This window comes from Homo sapiens, chromosome 8, assembly GCF_000001405.40.
Source record: "Homo sapiens chromosome 8, GRCh38.p14 Primary Assembly".
Classification (NCBI taxonomy): domain Eukaryota; kingdom Metazoa; phylum Chordata; class Mammalia; order Primates; family Hominidae; genus Homo; species Homo sapiens.
Window position 1 is genome coordinate 135,609,599 of NC_000008.11, and position 27,309 is coordinate 135,636,907.

The following is a 27,309-nucleotide window of genomic DNA, read 5'->3' on the forward strand; positions in this document are numbered from 1 at the left end:
TTTTTGAAAATTAAAAACAAAGACATAAATACACACATTTGCATAGACCTACACAGGCTCAGGATCTTTGAGATGTCATAGGTGACAGGAATTTCTCAGCACCATTATGATATCTTAGCGCCACCGCTGTACCTGCAGTCTGTTGTTGACTGAGACGTCGTTATGCAGCACGTGACTCTATTCCGTGTGTTGGACTTTCAAATGCAAGCATGTTTTTTGGCTTGAACAGTATCACAATATAGTGATGTTTATGGTTCGATTCATTCTGTGGAGAAAAGAGAAGCGACTTAATATTTATTGAGTTTTTAATGTGTTTCAGATACTATGCTAAATGCTTTTTGTATTTGATTTCAGTAGATCTTCACAGGCATCAACCCCGTCCTATACAATAAATAGAGTTTCCTCCAGTTAATAGATGTAGAAACCAAGATGTAACTTTTTTTATGAAGTATATTTACAATACAAGATTATAGTCCATGTGATCTTCTGGTTTTTGATATTTGATATAAAGAACCAAACTTAAAGCATTTGCCCTATTAAATGCTGTGATCTGTCAAGGAGAGTGATGTCAAAATGTGACTGCAGGTAAACTGATAGATCACTAAGGGGAGCTAGCATTTACTTAGAGCCTGCTCTAAATCAGGCATGGAATTTAATCTGTTACTTATGTGTCTTGTTTTAATACAAATGACAACAGCAAGAGTTAATATACATGATGAAACTGAGGCTCAGAGAAGTAGGTGACTAATCCCAAATGTGAACCCAGGCTTTTAAAGCTCATGGTCTTTCTACTTGAAGCTCTGATTATATATTTATATGACAGATGATAAGCATTTATTCTTTGGTTATTTATTCAATCAGTGTTTATTGAATGTCCATTTTGTGCTAGGCATTATGCTTGATGCTTGGAATACAAAGATTATTAAGACGGAGACTCTATCCTTGAAAAGCTTACTGGCTAGAAAAAAACAAATGTAAATATTTTAAAACAATGTAATATTCTAATTATCGTGAGCGGTCTGAGGAGAAATTCATTGTTTTCATAAGAAGACTATGCTAAATTCTGGTTGGGAATACTGTGGACATTTACCTGAGAAAGTGAAGGATAAGTAGTAGTCACCAGGTGACAAACAGGGAAGAGCAGTTCACAGAGTAAGGCCAGCAAGTCACAGAGGCATGAAACAGGGAGTTTTGTGTGGCAACTACACATAATTGTGTAGGGCTGAAATATGTGGCACACAGGAGCTGTGGGGAGAGAGGGGCCAGGAGGAGTGACAGCATGTTTCCTCCACAGGGAGCTGAGACAGTGCCATTGAAGAGTTACATGTAAAGGTATGATGTGTTTATACTTGAATTTAGAGAAATTAATTAGATGACAGTTGTGAAGGCTGGATTGGCAGATGGTGAGCCCAGAGGCAGAGACTAATTAAGATACTGTTATGTTATAAATTATAAGCCCTTTAAATATCAGGAAAGATTCACTAAAAGAAGCATCTTTTGTGACAGCCAGTCTACCTTCTTTGAAGTGATCTTTTCTGTGCTACAACTTGTCTTACCTGAAGGAGTACAGAGAACTGTATGAGAAGTGCTCACATGGACAAGTACAGAAGCCACTGCTAGATACTCTTGAGTGTTCATTTAATCCTCATAACATGTCAAATAAACATCTGTCCCTTTTAAAGAAGAAAACAGTGGCTCACACAATTAGATAACTTGCTTCAGATCGTACAGTTTACACAAAGGAGACAAACTTTGAACTGAGGTCTGACTGTAACTATATATTAGTATCTTTTCCACTACAGCACTCTTAGCTTACACTGAATAACTGCTCTGCTATAAATTGAAAGGAAGCAGCTATATATAGTGTGGGGTGAAGAAATGGTTCTATGCACCATATTAGTTTACTATATGGGGCTGCCATAATAAAACGCTCCAGTCTTCTTAAGTCCTCTCTCCCGGGCTTGCAGATGGCTGCCTTCTCTCCATGTCCTCCCATGCTCTTTTATCTGTGCACTAACATTTCTGGTGTCTCTTTTTGTATCCAAATTTTCTTTTCTTTGAAGGACACCAGTCAGATTGGATTAGAACCCACTCTAAAGGCCTCATTTCAATTTAAATCAGCTCTTTAAAGGCATTGTCTCCAAATATGGTCACAGTCTGAGGTACTGGATTAGGGTTTCAATATATGAGTTTCAGAAGGCAAGGTACACAATTCAGCACACAAAATGCACATACTCTAACACCGGTTTAAGCACAACACTGCATGTTTCAGAATTAGGAACCTGATATGAACTAGTTAGGATAGCAGATTTTCAGATCATCCCCAGTATCGAATAGTAGACATTAACAAGGAAATCATCACGGCCATCATCTTAGGTTTCCTTTGTGCTTGGCATTATTTCATCTACTTTACATAAATTATCTCCCCTCTCTGCATCCCCTTCGATATTGCTAAATTCAAGTTTAAAAATGTTATTCCCAAATTCAGAGAAGTGAAGTTCCTCATTTCCAAATTCAGAGAAGTAAAGCCCAAAGAAATCACCTCGGTGCCAAAACATTCTCTTTTATACTGTCTCCATTGCCTTTCAGCTCTCCTTTTGTCATGGTTTTGATTACAGTTGCTGGGACTCATTCCTGTTTATATTTCCCATATACAGTATTCAAAAATGTAATACTTTGTGATGCTTTAAAATCTCTTAGGAATTCTGCTTCAATATGCACTAGAAGTTTTGCCTTATCAAATTTAGACTACCTTAAGCAAATAGGGAATTTAATTTATATTAAATATACATATTACAGTCGTAGGCTTAGACTAGTGAAATTAAGAAATTTGTTTTTCCACTTTTACATGAGATCCCTTCAGTGAATAGCATTTACTGCCACTGCTGTCAAGGAGCACCCAGTTTTCAGATGCACTGGTGGGCAGTGCCATGTAGCACTTGATGTCTTATCTAACATGTCTTGATTTTGACAATTCAGGTTCCATAAGATTTCATACGTAAATAGTTCTCTCAATTCAGAATTTGAAAGTACGTGCAATGCTACAGTTATAGTTCAGTATTAGTGAAGAATTCTTCACTTGGCCTCCTTTTAGAGTACAAAGCTGTTCTGCAGATGTTCTTTGACGTTTTATGCAGTAGGAGGGAGCACAGAGCAGAGGTAAAAGCTGCTCAGTCCCCCATGGCAGCCACTAGACATGGAGCTGTGGACCCTTGACCCGTGGCCAGTCCAGATTGAGATGTGCTGGAAGTGTAAAACTCACACCACATTCCAGAGACTTTGTATGAAAAAAAGAATGTTAAAAAAATTATTAAAATTAATTTCACCTATTTCTTTTTACTTTTTTTACATGTGGCTACTGGAAAGCTCTCTATTACAGTGTCTTCTCATAGACAGCACTGAGTTAAATGATTCTGGCTGTGTCTGTCTCTGGCACATACTCACTTATGGGTAAGCAAGACAGCAAGACAGTCCACAAGCCGCAGAGAGAGAACTGGAAAGCGGCCCCTCATATTCCTACTTTTTAAATTCCTATTTTAATGTTTGTATGTTATTTAAAATATAGCTTAGTAATATTATAGTATGCATAAGCACATTACAGTTACAAGTTCAAAAACATTTTTATTTGTGCCGATGTATTATCAGAAACAGAGACCGGTGCCACAGTGGTTAAGTCTGACGGACCTATGGTCAGACGCCAACTTTAACATTTACTGGCTCTGTAATTTGAGGTGAGTTATTTAACCTCTCTAAGCCTCCTTTTATAAAATGTGTAACTGTTTCTACTTGTGAGAACAGTGTAAAAAGATTCTCGTTTAGAGGGCCGGCCTGAAGGCTGAAAGAGACAGGAAAGCACGTAGTCTTTGTAAACTGTGTAGAGGGAAGTCTGTTGTCCACTCCGTTGTCTCTGCTTGAGGACTGAATGAGATGGTTTGCATAGGGAGGTAGCACAGTGTGAGCCCGAGTTCCTGCCATCCTTCTGCAGCTCTAAATTCCTTCTGCTTGTTGTTTCACACAAGAGTGGCTACGAAGAGCAGGTTCTGGGAAACCTGCAAGGACTGTGCGAGCAAATGTTTTATAGTGAGAGAGGAAACCTTGCAAAGGGCTTCTTTCCTGTGGATGGTCAGTGTCAGTATTTCCTGTGCACTGAGAGTCGGTAAGGTCAACAGCCATATCCTACCTGAAAACAAACTTGAGTAAGACAGCAAGGCGGCCTGGCTACCGTTGGGTATGATCTGTTGTGTGGAAGGGCTTCTTTCCATAATGACTTTTAAACTCCTGAGGTCCTCATTATTATGACACTCTTGTGTTACAGAAACAAGTTTATCTTTGGAGGTTTTACAGATTAGGAATTTTTTTCTTCCAATTTTCAAATACCTTGCATTCAAATCAGAGTACAAATGAGAATTCCCATAAAAAAATTCAGTATAGTTCAGGTACATTTCCCCATTGATTTTTGTAATGACCTTGATAATGCTAACATTACAGTATAAAACAAAAGTATCGTTTATCTAACTTCACACATTTAATGAGTAACAAGATTTTGACACAGTTACTATGAAGAGAAATATAAACTATTCTTTACAATATTGGAATTATTCTAATACACATTGGCTCAAAAATAGATGTTGATTACTTCCTGTGGATACACAGCTTCGGAATAGCTAGTATAGTGAATCAAAACGAATGGGTGATAATGACCTCAGCCCTCAGAGCCCTTCCTCTGCCCCGACATGGCTTGAATCTTCACAGACCATTTCTGCCTCCTGGAAACCCCTTGTAAATATCTTTATTTTATTCTAAGCTAAGTGGAATTAGTTTATATTTGATGTCTTATTTACAATCCTAATAACTATCATAATATTTTTAGTCTATGTTTCTGAAAAAGTATAAATTCTCCAAAGAACTGTTTGGCTCCTAGAGTGATCATAAACTAAATAGAACATAAAGGGTCTCAAAAAGTGCTAATAGAAATTGAGCATTATAAACTGTCAACAAAAATACTTCTAACACAGTACTATGTAGACATCAACAAAAAACAAGGGATATCAACCCAAATTACCCCCATAGACCCGTAAATACTTAATTCCCAAGACCCCATGGTAAGGGAAAAAAAAACAAAAAAAAGAGTAGAGACAGGGGTGAAAAAGTGAAGCTACAACCCTGTAAAGAAAAGAAAAATTATTTGGTGACGCTTGTTAAAGCACAGTAAGGCGGACTTTATTCAGGACCACTGCAGTAGATACGTGGACCACTGCACTGGGACTTTGCAGTGGGGAAGAGAGACCGGGCTCCACTCTGCATCTAGCATTGGCAAGTGGGAATTCGTAGCCAAGAAGTCGGGCTAGGGTCAGGAGATAGAAAATTACTGAGAGGAAACATCAGTGGTAGGGGGGATTTTGGCTGAACTGACCTAACAGGATTCTTGCCAGAGGCAGGCCAGAATGGTCAGACATCCCCTCCCCTGGGGAATGATGGAGGATAAGGAACCTGATCAGATACTGAGGGTGATCAGATATCATGGGTGGCGTGTTCTTGCTAAACTGGCTCAGCAAGGTTCTTTTTTAAAACTGGATTTTACAAGGAGCTCCACAGATGGGCCTAGGAGAAGGATCAGGAGGCTGACTAAAGTTTAGCCAAGCAGAGAATCTTTGTCAGCTCTGACAGGGAAAAGGGAAGGAACAGCCCAAGACTGAATGTTAGCATGTGTAAGTATTGCTGTTTATTATAGTTATTATATATTGACCATCTGCTGTAGTGTATCAGACACACACACACACACACAACCACCCTCTGATCTTAATTTTAACCTTAAAAGGTGGATATTATCCTCAATTTATTATTGAGAAAACTGAGACTCAGAGTTTAAGTAGCCTGAGTGACACTCTTAATGACATTATTGATTTCAAGGTCCATTTTCATTCCATTATACTAGTGTTTTTCAAAGAGTAGTACCCATATCATTGACGTCTCACAATGTGATTTCAGATGCTACATGGGCAGACTTCTTAAAAAATTGTAATGATTAGATTATAAAGTTATTGGAAGAGTATGGTTAGCATATCAAACACATGATTTTATGATTATTGCTATAATTCAGTGATGTCAAGTTTATTTAAAGTAAAAGAAAATTAACATGGAGAGTTAGTATGAAGTCACGAACAGGATAGATGGCAAGTATACTGCATATCCTGAGAGTTGTCCCTGAATGGCTGGGGTTTGGTGAATGCTGCACTGAGCATTTGTGTCACCAGTCAGTGGACAACCTGAAACACTGCTCATACTGAAAGTTTGATTAGATGAGTCTGAGAAGCAAGACTGAGCTTCTCACTAAGTTACAGTGTCCTACCAAATTTGATGCCTTGATTTTATTGAAAATAAGAAGTTTTGTATCTTCACCAGGAATTTCTTTAGAATTAAACTAATAAAAAAGGAAAATGTTTTTCAAGATTCATTTACTTAACAAAGTTTGAAGGAATGAAATATCTATTGCGTACTTACCAAGTGTGAGTTACTATGTATCTAGGTGCTCTCATACATATTCTGTCATTTAATTCCTAAGAACTTCTGTAGGATTGTCATTCCTTAATTTTACAAAAGGAGTTGACATTCACAGAATTTGAGCTTGACCAAAGTCACATAGCTAATTCATATCAGTTAGTCCTCATACTGTTCTCTTTGAGATCAAGCTTACATTCTTTTGCCTAACTCAAAAGCAACTAGTAAGGGGGAAAAAAATTAGGTTCCTATAAATGTAGAGAAGACCACCACATGGGATCTTCATGCATGATCTCCACAAGTGTATGACAACACGGTAGTGGGGCAAAGGCAAGCTAGTGGCAATAAATCAATTGCCACTGTCACTTTACTCTTTAATGTTCTTGAGACTACATGAGATTTATCACTAAGGAATTGTAGAATAATGGTAGTAAATGAAAACAAAGTCCACCAGGGAGATGTACTACATCATTTGGATTTAGCGCTGCCATCTGCTTAATAGCATTGAGAAGACTGCAACAGTACTTACGATCAACCATTCATAGCAATGACAGATGCTGCAGAGAGTGAACATACCAGGGAAGCAGGTTCATTACTAAAATGTAGATTATGTGACAGGGTTTCTAAAAAGCGCTTGTGTTGATGACCAAACCTCCAGTTTTAAATCTTCACTATAGAATTTTAAGTCTGTAAGATAAAGACCTACTCTAAAGTCTTTCTATGTTTCATTCCTCGTGTTTCATACATTCTTAAAATGTATTTATTTATTTTTTAAATAATTTTTTCTACAAATCTTGCATATATAGTCTCTTTTTGATGGAAGAGAATAATAACTTTTGTATAATTTCTGACTTTTAAAATGAGGTAGCATTATTGTTAGTAAAAAAAGACAGTGACTATAAATCCACAAAAGCTTGGACTTGAATGTCAGCTCTACTACTTTCTTAGCTCTACGACGTTGACTAGGTTGCTTCTTTGAGTCTTTTCTCTTCTGTAAAATGATGACTGTTTGACTTACAACATTGTAATTAAGTGAGATAGCAGATGTAATATACATAATAGTTCAATAAATTTGCTGTAGTAGCCTGTAGTAGGTGTTTACCATTGTAAGCATTTTATGGCCTTTTTAGCTACTTTTATTTTATTTTATTTTATTTTATTTTATTTTATTTTATTTTATTTTATTTTATTTTATTTTTCAGAGACAGAGTCTTACTCTGTCTCACGCTGGCATACAGTGGCACCATCTTTGCTTACTGCAACCTCCGTCTCCTAGGTTCAAGCGATTCTCCTGCCTCAGCCTCCCAGGTAGCTGGGACTACAGGAGTGCTCCACCACACCCAGCTAATTTTTGTGTTTATAGTAGAGACAGGGTTTTGTCATGTTGGCCAGGCTGGTCTCAAACTCCTGACCTCAGGTGATCTGCCTGCCTCAGCCTCCCAAAGTTCTGGGATTATAGGCGTGAGCCACCACACCCAGCCAGTAGCTACTATTATTATACCATTTTATGGATGAGGAAATTGTGGCACAGAGACCGTGGAACTTCCCTGAACTCATGGAGAGTGAGTGCTAGAGCTGGCATGTGAACCCAGGCAGTCTAAGCACTCTGCTATACTACCTCTCTATGTAACTGTTGTTATTATGAGTTTAAGTATTATATCCAGAAACTATTATAGTCTTTTCTGAGAACGTCTCCAGTCAATAAAATCCCAACAAATAATCTGAATAAAATTATGCATGCCATTTTGATACCTTATTTGTGCAATAAAAAGTTGTTAAAGGCTCATTTAATTTAGATTGTTTAGAGTCCTAAAATGTGTCAGAAGCACAGACTTGAGGACAGAGCTCTAAGTTACTTGTTGCAGGTTGACTTGTAATGGAGAATGTCGGTGCCTGAATTCCCCAGAATCGATTCATACCTCATTGTTAGACTCACAGCTTTAGAAACTGAAATAATATTCAGACATGTTGTGGATCATATTTTTCCCTTGTATTTGTCATCATGAAGGGATATGTTCCTTTTGGAAGGTAATTTATGAGTGTGCATTGAGAGCCTTAAAAATATTTGTGACTTAGGAGCCAATATTTTTGCAATAAGTGCCTGAACTTACAATATAACAGTGAGTGTCTGACAGTGCGAATATATTTAAGAGCCCTTTAATTGAAAAGAGTAAGCAATTTCTGGAGGAGTTCTGGGAAGGAGGAGGTTAGGTGATAAATTCAGTTTCTCAACCTGTTGGATAGATAGTAATATAATTAATTTAAGTGGCAGTGAGATTTAGGAAGAAGTTAATAGGTTCATTTGGGATGTGTTGAATTTAGGTTGTCCACAGAATTGTAACAATTACATTAATAATTGATATAAAAATGGTTTACATACTAATAAGTCATTATATCAATGGTAACTATATTTCTCTCCTAGTTTTTCTTAGTAGTTACAAAATGTATTATGGTTAGATTTTTACCCCAATTTTAGTAAGTAACTGAGTTGTAGTTTTATTTTTTGTATTCTCTTTCATTGATGTCTTAAAGTATGTGTACCCAGTGTTTTGACATGGTTAATCTCCCAGAAATTAGAGTAAGATAGTCAATTCCAAAGTATATTAAACAAGATAGAGTGAAAATATTATATGATTAGGAGTCAGGCCGACCTGACCTTTCCACTTCGCTGTGTATGTGATCTTTCACTAACCCTCAATTTTCCCACCTACAAAAACGTAGTGAGAGAATATACTTGAACAGTTTAGTGTGGAGCCTGGCACGTGGCACTTGGAATTTGTGATTGTGTTTTATGTGTCTGTCACTGCTGGGCATTTTGCTGGTGCTCTGTAAGTAGTACTGACTGTGGAGGGATGATCATTGGCACCTTCGTTATCACCAGGTGATAGATTGCTTCCAGCTCACCTCATATCTGCTCATTTTCTGTGCAGAGTATCACAAACCTAACTTGGAGCACACTGCAAGTGTAAAGGCATAAATGCTTTGCTTTTTTGTTCGTTGTTTCTTACTCTGATGCTTTTTTGTTCAGTGTTCTGTAAAGGACCAAAAAGTAGGCATATACATTAGAAAGTAGGAAAATAATCATTAAAACTTGCATGTATTTCCTTTATCTATCATTTATAAGGATTGCTGTACCACATGAAAATGAATTTATGTTGTTTGTAAGTTTATAAAATAGAAGTATTTCATCCAATTGCAACCTTTTTGAAATAGTTTATCAAAAGTATTGGATATAGTCTTAAACATTGCTAAATTTTAGAGACATTGGAAATAAAAAATACATGTAGGTATATAGCCCAATAAGACATCTTACATAGAGGAAAAAAAAAAACTATCCATATTGTCTTAGCCAAAGTAATATAATTAAAACAGTGTCTCAATTAAGGCTGCATAAAGATGTAGTAAATTAAAGTGTGACCATGGGCAAGTTATTTAACCTGTGCTCTAGAGTAAAATGGGGATGACAATAATAGTACTGACCTCATGGGGTTGTTGTAAAGTTAAGCGAAATGGAAAGCATGTCATATATGGAAAGCATATCACACATCGTAAATGCTATCAATAGCTATCATTAAAGTCCTACAATTCTTTATCTAAAACTGTCGAAGCTAAATATGTCTTACATTCCAATTTTTGGAATTTTGGAAAAACAATACAGGATACATACACATACCATATGTTAGTACAGCTCCAGTGGAGCCCTGCATGTGCTTCTCCAGGATAATGATTGCCCCTTGGATTCTTTGAAGTTTATGGTCAGGGAAACTGGTTACAAAGGGGTGTAAAGCATATGTGGCAATTTGAAAACGAAGGGGATTTCTTAAGGGAGCAGTGTGGCATTCAGCCTTGGCAGTTTCTAATCCCACCAAATATAGCAATATTGCTAGTGCTAGCAAGTTATTTTTAAACAGAGTGGATTAAATAATTGATACAAGACTGTTTCTTCTATTAGAAGTCATCACTTTAGCAAGGCCTTTTTTTTTTTTTTTTAATTGAGACAGGGTATCAATCTGTCGCCCAGGCTGGTATATAGTGGCGTGATCTCTGCTCACTGCAACCTCCGCCTCCTTGGCTGAAGCGATTCTCCATCCTCAGCCTCCTGAGTAGCTGGGACCACAGGCACGAGACGGTGCCACTGTCACTTTACTCTTTAATGTTCATACTCAGCTAATTTTCGTATTTTTTTTAGAGACGGAGTTTTGCCATGTTGCCCAAGCTGGTCTTGAACTTTTGAGTTCAAAGCGATCTGTCCGCCTCAGCCTCCCAAAGTGCTGGGATTACAGGTGTGAGCTACCACACCCGGTAGCAAGGCCCTTCCTGACCTGGCCCCAATTCCTTCTCTGCCTCATCTCAGGTCACTCACTCATGTAATGTAACCTGATACTGAGTTTCACAGTTATGGCTCATTTATACTTGACTCAATAACCTATTAAAATGTAAAGGCTAACTTGTGAAAGTACATTGTCATCAAAATCTTCATGGCTCCTTAGTTAATCTCAAATATACCTTTTGAAGATATTGTGGTTTTTAGAATTTTCTAAAATGGTGCAAACAGGACAATTTGCCTTTCTTTGTATTTTAGTCTTTGCCAGATTGCTTGCAACAGAGCTACCAGTTTCTTGGATGAGTAGTTACACCATCCAACAACCCTCGGTGATTCTCCTCACCTCACATCCCATTCTTCCATGTCCTATAAGTACTAAGGCTTCTGTGTTTCCGCAATGCTCTGTGCTTGCTCTGTCCTCCAGCGGAACCTGCTGGACTTGAGAATCCATCTCCTTTTTATAGAGTCCTGCAGCAGCAGGGACCCTTTTGTACTCATGTTTATATCACCAACACCTAATGCAGTGCTGATCAGAAAGGTGATCTATGTGTGTTCTTCAGTTGAATTGATAACGTGTAAGTTTGCATCTGTTTTAAACATTTCTTTATTAGAAACCCAGTAAGAAATCTTGTACCATTGTAAGTCTAATGTGAAAATTGATGTAGTCTTCAACTCTGGCTACGTGGAAGAATCACCTATGCAGCCTTAAAAAAAAGGGGGGGAGGATGGGAGGGTGCCAAGAAAATCACCTGTTATTTTTTAATCTGAGTCTTGGTGTAGAGCAGCTACTATAAATTCTTTAAACTCTACAGATAATTCTGATAAGCAGCCAAAGGTTGAGAACTGCTCTTCTTGAGTAATAAGTACTATATAAATTAGATAATATGTGTAAAGCACTTTGCACAGTGCCTACCAGTTAGTTGCCAAGGAAATACTTGTTTCCCCCAAAAATAAATTGTTGGCCTTTCTGTAATGTCTTCCATACATTCATTCTGCAAACAACTATTGAAACCTTCAGTGAGCCAAATTGTTCAAAAATACCTTATTCCAAAGGGAAATTTGATGTTTTCTATTAGAATATAAGTGCCTAACATACTTAAAACTGTCACTATTCGAATGTAAGCTCTGCAGGGGCAGGAATCTTCATCCTGTTTTGTTCATCAACACTTCTTAAGCACCTGAGATAGTGAGTTATTGTTTAGTGGGTAGATTCTAAACTGTTGTCAGTAATAGATGACCATTCTACCAGGCAAACCAGAAGGAAGTTTTTGTGCAGAAGAGCACAAAAAAAAAAAAAACGTGCAGTGGTCCTATGAAGAGATTGACTTGGTGTGCATTGGTAGTGACCAGTTTTTCAGTGAAGCTGCAGCCTACGGTGCCTAGGAAGGAAGGTGCACTAAGTGTCTATAGAAAGATCCATAGAGAACATTTTGTGATGGACCTTCATACCAGGCTCAGGAGTTCCACAGATTTTTTTTTTGTTTTGGTTTTTATCAATGAAGGTGCTCCCCATGCCCGTAACCCCCACACTGGTCCAAGTGAATGTCACCTTGCTTGTGGAGCACCCGGAGCCTGGCTGTTGCTTGCCCCACCTCCACTCCACTCCTGAGCTATCATGTCTCCCTACTGCAGCCCACGTGATATTTTCCGTATAATTACATGCTCTCATAATACCCAGCAGTTTTCCATCATAACTGCAATTTTATATTGAAGTGATTATTTGATCAATGTCTGTCTTCTTTTTTCAATCTATTCACTGTCCCCTCCCCCAGTGCCTACCACAGTGCTAGAACATACGTAGTGCTCAATAAATATTTATTGAATAAATATAGAGAGGTAGAATTTTACTTTACATCAGTAATGTTAAAACAAAGTAGGTATTCTTATCACAATTTCTTATCTGATTAAAATACAATACTATAAGTGTCGTAGTTTAAATTCTTTTAATGCTGCATATTTGAAGAGTGAGCCTGTATAATTTGATATGCAGATTGATGTAAGTTAGTGTGCCACCAGATTCCCCAGAAACACTAAAAACCATTTGCTGCCCTAACATTGTGTCAAAGGAAGATGCTGACAATCCCATAAAAAATCAAAAGGTATAATTATTTCACATGTGTAAATATTGCAGATCACAATCAGTGTTTTCCTAAAGAGTAATAGATATGGCTTTGAAATCTAAATATCAAATGTGTTTATCAGAAATCTCCTCAAAAAGATATGTTAGTATACCAGATGGAAGGATTGGCTGTAAAAACAAATGCAAGATTCACAAATGATCCAGAGAAATACTGTAACCTGGCTCATAATATGTTGATGGACCATTTCTAATGGTATCGGAAGAGCCAAGTAATCCAATACCAAAAGATTCCATGCCTTGACACCCAGTGTAGTTGGACTTGGGGAATCAAAAACAGAAATACAAAAAAATAGGCTTAAGGAACCCAACCTTGATCTTGGTCTTTCCTCAAAGTTGTATATTTTTTGAACTTCTAAGCACATATTTCATTTGCGGCAGCCTTCCCGGCCTTCCTGCCACTTGGTAACCAATCTGTGACCCCTTTTCTACTCTCCAGACCTTCCCCGGAACCTCAGTCTGTGCTAACAGTTCTCCTTATTACATGTCCCCAGTATTTCAACCTGGTTTTTCAATGTTAGGTTCCATGAAATTCTAATATGTAGTTTCAATACTTCATGCAAAGAATTGTCATTAAAATTACTCGTGATGTCTAGTGACAGTATCTGTAATTGATAGTATTTTGTAAGTCATCCTTTGCCAGAAAAAAATAAGCGATAAGGATCTGTTCTCTTGTGTGTCTTCATAAGAAATCTTAGTTTTCTTGTTAGCGTTTCTGAGAAATTAATTGATGTTTGAAATTAACAAGCTACAGTAAAAATACTGAAGCTTGAGTCAAAAGACATGTCTGAATTTGAATCCTGACTGTCATGTAATGTGTGACCTTGAGCGAGCCGCACAGTAAACCTTATGAAACCTTACGCTTAACTAATAAAGTGAGTAGGCAAATTAATGTTCACCTTCCTGAAAGTTAAATAAAATTATGAAGTTGCAGAGTACTAAGCAAACAAAGGGAAACTGTTGTTGGTATTTATTTTTTTAGGGTTGTGTCACCAAAGCTAAGTTCCTTACTTTTTTTTTTTTTCTCTCTTGAAATACAGAATTTTATTGAGAAACTGTTTAAAGTAGAAAAAACCCTGTCAAGAAAGACCAGGTGGAAAATGGGTTCCCAATAAAATGGAATTTTAGGGCAACAAAAGTCTAAAAGGCCGCAAAAGAGAAATAGCACCACTGTCATTTGAACAATGGCTAGTTACTCACAGTTTTTGGCATTGTTAATCACTGAATCTGGGTTTTCCTCTGAATACCACACAGCATGCACTACACAACAATTTTATCATAAAATACTTGCTTTCTACACACATTTTAGGACAAGCTACCACCAGAAACAAATCAATGCAAATACATCAGGGGCTGAACAAACTCAGTAGTGAGTGAGACACATTTTGCAGAGTCCTGCAAATGAGGGAGAGTTAAGGAATGAAATATTTTAAATATTAATTTTTAGACACGGTGCTATATTTTCTGCAAAAGAAAATTAACATTTAGCCACACACTAATGCATTTTATCTCCAAAGAAACTAGTGTACTGGCAAAGTATTCAGATTACAGTGGACAGCAGATACCGAAAATACCCCAGCCTTGCAGATCCCAAGGTAACAATGGCTTTCACTGACCACTCCCTTTGCCAGAGGTCCAGAAAGAATTGCAGCATGGTCACCTGCCTGCTTTACTTCCAGCTCTAAGCAGCAAACTTCAAGGAGCCAAAGAGGAGTCCCCAGTGGGCAAAGGGAGCAGAGAAGAGAAACATGGTAAATGTAAACCTAAAAGACAGTAAAATGGGATAAAATCCCCATTCAAATCCCAGAGATGTGGGCAAGTCCCCAAAAGTAGTTGTTAGATTAAAAATCTGGGCACACCTCACTTCCCCAAAAACATAATACATAGAAATTTTGGGGATAACTGGAAAAATAGAAATGCTTAATGAAAACCGAGCTCTTCAACTCAAACATCTCAAGACTAAAACACATCCTCTGTTATATCCAGGCAATGATGCCGCTTGCTTTTTAGCACGGATGCAGTTGGCCAATGACACCAAATGGCTTCATAGGGCAACTTTTTAGACCAAAGTCTAGGCCTGTGAGGCTTCAAGCAGCCCTGTAAGACAGAAGTTTCCAAAGGTTTCAAGGTCTGGCCCTTCCTTCCCCAACACAATGTCAAACACAGTATCTCCTGTCATGTTACATTTTATATTTTGAAATATGGAAGCATATTTTAAATACTCTTAAGGCATTTATTTTTCACAACATTCTCTGATTTCACATTAGCTTAAAATTCAATTCAGTCTTTACATTTCTCCACTGAGGTCGCCACGTCAGCATATTATATAACACCTTCTCCAGCACTCAGTGTGACCCGCATCTGCATGGTGAGCCCCACGGTCAGCCTCTTTGTTTCCCAGGTGAACCAACTAGATGTTAATACTGCTCTGCTACAAGGTAAAAGCTCCTGACTCAAACTTATTGGAAAAGGAGTGAAACGTCTGCAAAATGCACTTTAACAAGAGGCACTTTTTGCTTATGAAAAGAAACCAGTGAGTCCTCTAAGGATAATAAAAGGGAGTATTTTACAGTTAAGCACATGATTTGGAGTGAAGAATTCAGATGTTGCTCTGCTGGTCCAGGCTGTTAATACTCTTCTTGCTCCTCCTGTGGGCCTCCTTCATCAGATGTCACAAAGCCTTCATCTGTGGCATACAGAATGTCTACAATCCTCTGCAATACAGGGTCATTTTCCCCCTTGTTCTCCTGGCAATTCAATGTTCTATAGCTTTCCGAAGTAGAAATCCCTCTCTTTCTCCAAGTCTTCAACGGTAAGTTTCAATACATTGAGTGCTGCATCAACTCAGCTGCCTCATCGTGCCCATTGCGCACACCAGGGTCTTTCACACCACACCAGGGCAGCCTTAGGAGCCACAGCAGTTCTCTGTGTTGAGATGGGCCTCAGGGGAGCTGCACTGCTAGAACTGAGAGGTTTCTTGGGTGTATTCAGAGCTGGAGCAACGAGAGAGGGAGCCACTGCAGTTTCTTGACCTTGTCTGGCAGCCACAGGGTCAGTCTTTTCCATCATAATTTGCATCAAAAAACTTCTTGAAACACTGAACGAATTCAAAATTTTCCTGAAACTTTCCTTTTACTAATTTGTCCACAGGAATTATTTTGTCAACACCCATCCTCTTAAAACCTACTGGTAGTATTTTGAAGTTCTGGATGCACCCGTGTTCTAGCTTAGCTTAGAATTTCACTTTCTTCAAGGCGGTGGAGCCAGGGAACAGCATGTCCATAAACTGACACTAGGCAGCCCCTGAGCACAGCTGTTCGATCTTTGTCACGTTCAACTGCAGAGACTAATTGATCCAGGCCAGCATGTCATGTCGACTTAGATTATCACTGGTCACTGACGTTGAGTATACGTTCACTGCCATCTTCGGCTCTTGGCGGAACCGTGTCCACTGCCCGCACCCAGCTCCGGTTCCAGTTCCTTACTTTTTAGGCAAGAATGAATGTTTGCTGAATAGATTGTATGACAACAAAAATAAGGACTCATTTAAAAAGGACTTCTGCTTTAATATCATTAACAGCTGTCCTTCATATATGTATATAACACATTATTTCATTTAAACTTTACAACAGTCCTATGAAAGATTTTTTTTAAACTTTTACAGATGAGAAATTAAATTAACTTTAAGCTGACAGAGAATAAATCCTAAAGTCTAATTTCTGATATTTGTTTGGCTTCAAAGCCTGATTTTTAACTATTCTATGCCAGCTTCTAAAATGATTACAGTAAGATGGAGAAACCTGCTTAAAAATGAAAACCTGAGCCTATAAAAGTAAATATGGCATTGCACAGACCTCTCACATGGACATCAGCATGTCCTCTGTGAGCTGCACGCCTGGCCATTGCTGAAGCTTCCTGGCATGGTGGACTTGGGTGTGTTGGAGGAGTAAAGAGGCACAGTGGGGGCCGGGCGCGGTGGCTCACGCCTGTAATCCCAGCACTTTGGGAGGCCGAGGCGGGCGGATCACGAGGTCAGGAGATCGAGACCATCTTGGCTAACACGGTGAAACCCCGTTTCTACTAAAAAATACAAAAAATTAGCCGGGCGTGTTGGCGGGCGCCTGTAGTCCCAGCTACTTGGGAGGCTGAGGCAGGAGAATGGCGTGAACCCGGGAGGCGGAGCTTGCAGTGAGCCGAGATTGCGCCACCGCACTCCAACCTGGGAGACACAGCGAGACTCCGTCTCAAAAAAAAAAAAAAAAAAAAAGAGGCACAGTGGGAACTGAGGCAGTTCTCATAAGGAAAACATTATTCTCCTTGTCTCCTTTTTCTTGGAATCTAATAAAAATTAATAATTTTTTTTCAATTATGTAGAACCATCTGCAACCTTTTAAGCAACTTTGTAGTAGGAAGGAGTAGCAGGACATTGCCGTTTTCTGTTAAAATAAGAAAATAAGGTTAGCTATCTCTATATCAGAAAAATACAGGGATACTCACACGCCTTATTTCCGAATGCATTGCTGTGGCTTTTAGGGACGGGTTAAACTCTGAATTAATCATAAATTCAATCAAATTAGATGTTTTAGTTTTCTCTCATGCAAGGATGTAATCAGCTCCAAGCTCACGTGACAGCTTTCTGTAGTTACTAAGAATCCAGACTGCTTCTGCCCTTCTCTTCCGCACTCCTTCACCCTGGCTTCTATCCCAAGGCTCTTCTCATTCACAGTGGCTATTATACTTCCAGCTGCCAAGCTGAGGTTCAGGCAGGAAGAAGGGGGAAGAGTGGAAAGCCATGCCTCCTAGGTGAGTTGGCCTTCTGTTAGGAAATTTCCTGGAAGCTTCACTCCATAAATTTTGCTTCTATCTCATTGTCTACTTCATCTGCAAAAGGATTGATACATTATCACTAGCACCCAATCCCCAGCCTTATAAGGGATCTGTTGGTAAGAAAGAAGGTGAAGATGCATGTTAAACAGGCAGCAACAAATGCCTATTGGTTCTTACCTTTTAACATACAAATTAGGGATTTTTCTTTTAGATTTTTTTCCTTTTACTGAGATATAATGTACATACAGCAAAGAGCATAAATTTTTATTTATCTGAAAAAAAATAGTTCAGTGAAAGTTAACATACGTATACACCCACATAACCATGAGGAGAACATTTCCAGCACCCCAGAAGTTTCTCTGGCTTTTTCTCTTAGATGTTGCCTATCAGTTATCTTACCTCTAGCCATCTCCTTTTGATTCTGAATTACATGGCTTTTTTTTAGAGTACCCAAACATATCTCTTATTATTCTGAGAATGTAGTGATTGACAGTTAAATTAGATGGTAGTGAAAAACAGGTGGTGTTGAAAAAAAATCTACACTTGGCATTCGGAGTAACTAGACTTCTATTCTGATTCCATGTATTCTAGCCATGTGACTTAGACAATGTCTAAACTTTATGCCTCTGATTAGCTGCTTTCTTATTACTAAGCCAGAATGAATGCTGTTGTTCTGCTTGGAATGATTTTTTTCTTCATCTTTGTCTGGCTTTTCTGTTGTCAATTGAAGCATTTCTTTTTTCAGGAATCTTCTCATGTCCCCCAAAACTGGTTCAGGTATCCCACCTCTGAGTTCCTACAGAACTCTGGGTTTCTCGGTATCATCATGTTCCATTCCCCGGTTGACACTTGTCTCACTTGTACACTAGACTCAACATGGTTTATCACAAAGACCAAATCTTGTTGGCTGCTGCATTCCAAGGCCCAGCATATAGTGGGTGCTCTGTAAATATCTGCTGAACAGATGTCGAATGAAAAAGATGGTCTCTGAACCTCCTAATTTCATACTAAGATTATTCCACAAAACACAGTAGAAGTGGTGAGAGCTTGTTTTCTTAAATGGCAGAAAAATGTTGTTTTTAAACCTAAATTTATGAAATAGACATAAGAGCTTTATTGCAACTTTATTTTAAAGACGAAAGATAAATTGCATAGAATACATGGCTTATAATAGGTATTTGATAAGTGATATCTATTATTAGTGTGATATTAAATTTTATTTGCATGTCTTTGTGTCTCATGTGACTGTGACCTCATTGTCTCCACATGCCCATCATCTAGCATCAGATAGTAGTAGTTGCAATAGGGTCATTTCTAAATCAGTCTTGCCAGAAACTTCCAGGGCACATGCTTCCTTATTGCTTCCTCTGAGTAATCTGTCTTCCTGAGTTTTCTTACACAGAAGGTTGTACTCAAGCTTTGTGGAGAATAAAATAAGAGAAAAAGGATTCTGAGTGTCTCATGAGAGATTAAGGTTAAACACAAAGCAAGAACTTTCTGGCAGACCTGTTCGAGGGTATTACTGTGACAGGTTATTCAGGTTTCATCCCTAGAAGTCTTTGAAAGTGGAGAGATAATCATTTCTCTCAGATGATTAAGACAGTTTAGCCTGAAGGCCAGTGGTTGGGCCACATGACCTCTGAAGATCGATTTCTTCCCTTTGATTCAGCCAAGTACCAGTAAGTTCCTGCACTTTGTAGTGGAGATAAAGTTTAGAAGTATTTCATAGTAGAAAAGGGAAGGGACCAGCTGTAAAAGACAAAAAAGTTTGTGTCTCCAATTCTCTGGCAAACCTGTGTTAGCATTTGAAATCCTTTTATTTGACAAAGTGATTGTTATATCTGAGGTTTTGCAAACTTAGTTACAATAGGGTTAAGGATAATAGTCACCATTTATTTTGTACTGACTAAATGGCAGGCCAGTGACTAGTGTTTTGTGTAGGTGAACTCATTTAATTATTACTCATTCATTATCAGCCTGGCTGTAAGACAGCTGCAGCAGACACTTATTGAGCAGAAAGTATAAGCCAGATTTATTCATTCATTCATTCCTTCTATCAGTGTCTTTATTGAGCACCTTTTATGTCTGAAACACTTCTAGAAACTGGAACTTAAAAGATTTAACTGCCTGCCCGAGCTTACCCTGCTTCTAAGTGGAAGAAGAGGATTCAAAACTCAGAGAGCCTTTAATCCAAACTCTGGGCTCTTAATCATTACTGCATGCTAGGTCTCCATAACAATAATGGACTTTGTTCATAAAATGCTTTCACATACAATCGTAGTTGATCCTATAGCAGCCAGTGAAATACCTAGAATGTGAGATGGAGAGGCATTGGATTGAGGTGCAAAGAAATACTGAAGTTATTGATCGGGACATCTAGAATACTGTAGGACTGTTAGAACCCATGTTCTATGTCTGAGCTTGAATACTTCGCCTGATAGGAGAGCAAATGCTCCAACCCCAGTAAATTCAGTAACTCCTGTCAGGCTTCTGACTGTTTCATGGCAGCAGACTCCACCCATATAGTAACTTCTGGAAGATTATGGAAAAAGCCGAGACAATGGGCAGAAACACCTCCCGAGGGGAAACATTCTGCTGCTGGACCCTGTCAGGAGATGGTTTATGGTGGGAGTGAAGAGATGAAAGACAAGCCACCAGCATTTACAGCGACATGATCTGGGGCAGAGAGGGAGTAAGGAATGTCTGGTACCAAGGCTAGAAAACCTCCTGGAAGAGAACCTGGAACAAGTAATTGCCTATGGAGTCCCACCTGAGCTTGATGGAGCATCAATGCCTGTGCTTTCCTGAGGAAGGAGCCCTTGGGTCTGGAATTCCTGTGGTGGTCTGGGTTTCAGCAGACTGACTCCCTGGGGAGTATCTGGGTAGTCTAATATTGCTAATTTTGATAACATAAAACCTTGGTCTCAGAGAAATTAAGAAGAGCATTGTTGTATTTACACAGACCTTTGTTCTAATCCTGGCTTCACCACTTAACCAGCTATGTGATTTTAAATAAGTTTCTTAATTTACCAAACCTACTTTTTTTTTCTGTTTTGTGAAATGGGGTAATATCTACCCACAATGAGTTATAAAGTTTAATGTATGTATGTATGTATGTATATACAGATGTGTTGCTTAACAATTGGGATACATTCTGAGAAATGCATCCTTAGGTAATTTCATCATTAGGGGAACATCATAGAGTGACTTACTCAAACCTAGATGGGATAGCCTAATGCACACCTAGGCTAGATGATACAGCCTCATGCTTCTAGGCTACAGACCTGGACAGCATATCATTGCACTGAATACTGTGGGCAATGGTAACGGTGGTCAGTATCTGTGTATCTAAACGTATCTAAACATAGAAAAGATACAGTAAAAATATGGTATAAAAAAAGATGGTACACCTGTATAAGGCACTTACCATGAATGGAGCTTGAAGGACTGGAAGTTACTGTGGGTGAGTGAGTGAGTGGGTGGTGAGTGACTATGAAGGCCTGGGACGTTACTATGCACTATTGTAGACTTCATAGACATTGTATGCATAGGCTACACTGCACATATTAAAAAGTGTTTTTCGGCCGGGCGCGGTGGCTCACGCCTGTAATCCCAGCACTTTGGGAGGCCAAGGCAGGTGGATTGCCTGAGGTCAGGAGTTCGAGACCAGTCTGGCCAACATGGTGAGACCCCATCTCTACTAAAAATACAAAAAAATTAGCCAGGTGTGATGACGTGCACCTGTAATCCCAACTACACAGGAGGCTGAGGCAGGGGAATTGCTTGAACCGGGGAGGTGGAGGTTGTGGTTAGCTGAGATCGCGACACTGCACTCCAGCCTGGGCAACAGAGCGAGACTCCGTCTCGGAAAAAAAAAAAAAAAAAAAAAGGATTTTTCTTCAATAATAAATTAACAGCTTACTATAACTTTTTTACTTTATAAACTTTAGTTTTTTAACTTTTTGACTCTTTCATAATAACACTTAGCTTAAAACACAAACATATTGTACAACTATACAAAAATGTGTCCTTATTTCATAAGCTTTTTCTGTTTTTAAACTAATGTTTTGGTTTTTTTTTTAACTTTTTAAACGTTTCTGTTAAAAACTGAGACAGACACACACTACATAGTGTCAGGATCATCTACATCCTTGTCTTCTACCTCCACATCTTGTGCCTCTGGAAGATCTTTAGGGACAGTAACATGCATGAAGCTGTCATCTCCTAGGATAAGAGTACCTTCTTCTGGTTACCTGCTGAAGGACCTGCCTAAAGCTGTTTTACAGATCAAGTAAACACAGCTAAAACAGCTTCGGGCAGGTCCTTTAGGAGGTAACCAGATAGGTTTTCCTTTTTAATAAGTAGAAGGAATATACTCTAAAGTAATGGTAAAAAGTATAATATGGTAAATACACAACCACTGGCATAGTCCTTTAATTTTATTTTCTAGTATGATGTACCGTACATAATTGTATGTGCTAGACTTTTATATGACCGGCAGCACAATAGATTTATTTACACCAGTGTCACCAACACAAGTAATGCATTGCGCTATGATGCTACCACGGCTACAGCGATAGAAATATTTCAGCTCCATTATAAGTTGAAGGGACTGCCCTGGTATATATGGTCTGGCATTGAATGAAACATCATTATGCAGTGCTTGACTGTGTATATATACACATGCGCACACACTTCCTCTACAAAACCCAAAGCCAAAGTGTGCAAAAGTTGTCTCAACTCGCTGTCTTCACTTGATCTTCTTCTACTTTCTCTTGAACTTGATCTTTTGGTTCCCACGCTGCTACTGAAACAACTCTGTTCAGGTCCTCAGTGACCTCCTCTGAGCACCTTTGCCACACTTGATGAGGGAATCCGTCGTTCCTTCTGAAGAGCCTTAGGCCCTCACCATCTCAGAGCCTCTGGGCTCCTCTCTCTCTGGCTGGGTGTTCTCCATCTCTTGCTAGACCCTCCTCTTCTTGCCCTCTGCATTCTGGAGTCAAGGGGGCTCACTCCTTTAACCTCTTCTCCATTTGCTCTCTTCTCAGTGGTCTCACTGTCTCAGGTTTTAACGACCAAGAGCAATGATGATGACTCCCAGATTTATGTCTGCAGGTCAGACCTGTCTCCTGACCCCTAGATTCTCTTTCCAGCAGCCTCCTCTCCAGAGGAGGGTCTCTCAAACCTAACGTGTCCCAAATCAAACTCCGGAACTCTCCCTGCCCTGAAAGCTGTTGCTGCTATCCTCTTCCCTTTCTCTATAAATGATAATTCTGTTTTTTTTCTTGGAACCAAGAAAAATTTCCCATTTCACTCAACCGGGATTTTAAAAACACACACATAAGAAATGAAAGCCTCTCAGTGGCCTGCATGACCCTGCATGGTCCACCTGCCTTCTTACTGATTCTGTGGCCCTCTCCCTTGTCCTCTCTGCTCCAATTGCACTGCCTTCCTTTCTAGCCTTCAGCTGTACCAAGAATGTGTCCCCTGAAGAACTTGACATTTGATGGTCCCTCTGCCCACAGTACTGTGCCCCCAGATAATATCTGCATATCTCCTCCAATTCCTTCAAATCTCAGCTCAGATGATACCTTATTAGAGAGAGTTCTCTGACTAAACTATAAAATAACAATCTTAGTTCAGTTCTTCCAATCTCTTAGCTGCTCTAACTCTCAGTAGCACATCTGATCATGCGACGTATTATTTATACATATATATAGTTTATTGTCTGTCTTTCCCATTAAAGACAGCTCCATGAAAGTAGTGAATTTGTGTTGTTTATTAAATATGTTTTAAATAACTTGAATCCATGCATGAATGAATGCATGCATGATATGATTGTCTCATATTATTTGATTTTGTGCATGGCCACTGCTGAAGTTGGTAAGTGGCAGAGCCAGGACTCAGCCTGGTCTCACTAGAGCAGGAGCTCTCTCTCCTGCACAGTGCGGTGTTCATGCCCTCACCTCCCACTGGGTGATGCAGAGATAATTAACAACAAGGCTTCACTGCTGTGCACCCCAGTTTGCATATAAATGCAAGGGTAAAATGGATAACTTTCTTCTAGAGCAATGGCAAGACTTAATAAATCAGGTGAGTCTGCTTTCCTCATAGAATTTATAGAAATATAAGCTCATGTTAATGCCACAATAAGGTTCAGATTTTAATAGTCTCTGTCTTATGAAATATAGGGACTGTTAAGTATTTAAATAAAACCAGTTTCTTTTTTTAATTACTAATTTATAAGAGGAAAGGATCTGTTTTCTCAGCTATCATTTTAAAATTCTGTTTTGTCCCTGGGAGATAAATTTTCAGTTATGACTTTTTTAAAGATTTTATTTTTGCCACAGTCCTAGATTCACAGCAACATTGAGAGGAAGGCACAGATTTCCCACAGGCACCCTGCCTCTACACGTGCACAGCCTCCCCATTATCCACATCTGCCACCAGAGTGGTGTGTTTGTTACAATCAGTGAACCTACATTGACACATGATCATCACTCAAAGCCCTTAGTTGACATTAGAGTTCACTCTTGGTGTTGTAGATTCTCTGGGTTTGCACAAATGTGTAATGTCATGTGTCCACCATGAGAGTATCACCCAGAGTACTTTCACTGCCCTGAACATCCTCTGTGCTCTACCCAGTCATTCCTCCCTCCCCTCAACCCCTGTCAGTTGCTGACTCAGTTACATGTGTATACACTTGATATCAACCCATTTCTTAAAATAGGATTCTGTTGTAAACTGGGATTTTTGTTAACTCTTAATTAAATGGGGAGCAGGAATGATTCCTCAAATTATTTTAAGTCCTACTTCCCACTGTTTTTCCCAAATCACATTTTATAGCTTGAGAAACATGGTGAAATTATTTTTTAAGTTTGCCCTTGTTTTCCCTCCCCTGTCAGCACTGTGATGGATGTCCTCCCGAGCAGTGAAATGTCTAACAGTCAGGTTCACAATATCAACTCTGAAAGCTCTATAATTTAGAAAGCCAGACCTTCAATTTTTGTAAGCTGATAGGATTGCTGAATCTTTCTCTTAGAGGGGGATTCTCTGATTAAACTATAAATTTGGTTTGGCGTTTTCAATGGAAAATTATGTAAATATTCCAATTATTGTCAAATGAATGTGATTTTTAATTCCTAAAGAAAATTATTTATTTGAAACTTAAGTTTGTTTCTCTTTTCTTATATTCTTGGCACTAGTAGATAAAACATGCCAGTTAGGGAACTGAAGCTATTCCCATGTTAAAACTGTTTGTAAGGATTTGAGGGTAATCTCTATATTTGCATTGCTTATTTGACATGCTAGTTTCTCTGACTTTTTGCTGTCTGCCCCAGAAGACCAAGCTTTGTAGTCATGGTGTTATGTGAGATCTGAGACTAAGCAGTTGTGACATCGGGCTCTGTCCTCTGGCTAACTAGTTAGTGAATACTTCCTCCCTCATCACTGCTGGACAAGGAGACAGTTTTCCAGATAAAAGAATAATTCTTCAGGCAAGCGTAATGCTCACTCTGCCGGCCTCCTGAAATTTGCTGAAGCCATGTGTCCTAGGCCAATGGTTCTGAAAGTTTTTGATCTCACAATCCCTGTATACTTCATACTCTTAAAAACTAGTGAAGTACATTGCTGTGGTGTGGGGAAAAAAATTACTGAGAGCCACAACATGCTTTAATGTATGTGGTTTATATATATTAATATTTATCATATTAGAAATTAAAACAAACATTTAAAAAATTTATCAATCATTAAATGTAACAGTCAACCCATTGCTTGTAATCTATTTTTATGAAAAATCTCTATTTTCTTAAAAAATGGTAAAAATTGTGGATTCTCATTTATGCTTTTGCATTTCTTCTGATGTGATATGTTGTTTTGATTGAAGTAGTTGGAACAACAGATGTGTCACTGGCAAGGGGAAAGCAGCCCTTTCAAATAATAGACGATATTCTTCTTTGATACGACATCAAAACTTGGCAGGTAGTAGTGTTTGTTTGTTTGTTTGTTTGTTTGTTTTTGAGACGGAGTCTTGCTCATTGCCCAGCCTGGAGTGTAGTGGCACGATCTTGGCTCACCGCAAACTCTGCTTCCCAGGTTCAAGCGATTCTCCTGCCTCAGCCTCCCGAGTAGCTGGGATTATAGGCATGCGCCACCATGCCTGGCTAATTTTGTATTTTTAGTGGAGAAGGGGGTTCACCACATTAGCCAGGCTGGTCTCCAGCTCCCAACCTCAGGTGATCCACCTGCCTCGGTCTCCCAAAGTGCTGGGATTACAGGCGTGAGCCACTGCACCCGGCCTGGCAGGTAGTAGTTTCTTAAAGATTAGTTGTAACGTAGACTCTAAAACCATACCAGTAACCTTTTCATACTCTGTTACATTAAAATACCTTGGTCTGCTGTATACTTGGGTTTTTTGGCATCATGCATGCATCATTTGAAAAATGTCACTTCGCTGCATTATGCGTATCTTCAAAGTGCTGTTAACACATTTCATTATGCAATATCAAAAAAGTCATATTATCACCACTGATCTCAACAGAGATAAGTATTGACTTGACCATCAGTTTACAGTAGCAAATATTGGTTTTCCAAAGCTGCAGTTTTTACTGGAAAGCTCAGATTCTGTCATTGGTAATAAATACTGTCAGTTGTTTTACTTAAAGTGACAGGCTCACTTTATTCATTTTTGAGAAAATGTGAACCAGATACCCAAGTCTGAGTAAGCCTAGTTCATTGCTGTGAGTTATTTCACGTAACAATGATGTTTATGGAAAAGGCAGCTAGTTGGCCTCACAATGTAAGAAATGGCCCCAGGTGCTTTTCCTTGAGATCACCCTTGTACTTCAGTGTGCCCCAGAATTGCTTTCAAGAGCACTTTTCCCGTCATCATACAGAAGTTAAGAGTGTCTTTAATAGTTGAGATTTAATAAAATTAGTAAATGTTTACTTCATCAAGGACATTGTTAAGTGAAAATTCCTTAAAGAAAAGAAAAAGAATTCTCATGCAGCTTCGTGCCACTGCCTTGACTTTTGGTCAACAACCACCAACAATTTTACCCACCACATAAAAGGTCAGTATAGTGAGAAAGACACATAACATCTTAGTGTTATTCTGAAAACATTTTGACTTGATGAAACCCTGAAAGAGTTCGTGGGTCACACTTTAGAAACCACTACCCTAGGCTATTTTGAAAACTAAGATGCAGTAACACTGTGGGAGAGGTGGGCTCGTGATGGATCCAGCAGCAAGAGAAGAATAAAGCAAGCTGTCTGAAACATTTGACACCTCATGCAGCCTTCCCGTCAACTGAATCGTCCTCACATTGTAAGGCCCTTGAGGGCAGAAATATCATCATTGCCTGCGGTCACATGGACAGCAGTCTGTGCATGCCAGGGACACCCACAAAGAGAGGCTGAGCTTCTGCCTTACTCATCAGAACTGGCCCCATGTAGCCTCGGAATTCTCAGGGGAAGAGGGACAGGCTAACCGTAATGTATTTACTCTGAACACATTTAACAAAAC

General features: G+C 39.0%; 1 protein-coding gene and 1 pseudogene across 14 annotated transcripts in view; one reads left to right on the forward strand and one right to left on the reverse strand.

Annotated features, from left to right (window-relative positions):
* Positions 1 to 27,309, forward strand: part of KHDRBS3 (KH RNA binding domain containing, signal transduction associated 3) — a 199,061-nt gene that overhangs the window by 152,143 nt on the left and 19,609 nt on the right. The window lies entirely within an intron of this gene.
* On the reverse strand, positions 13,986 to 16,434 carry MAPRE1P1 (MAPRE1 pseudogene 1; annotated as a pseudogene).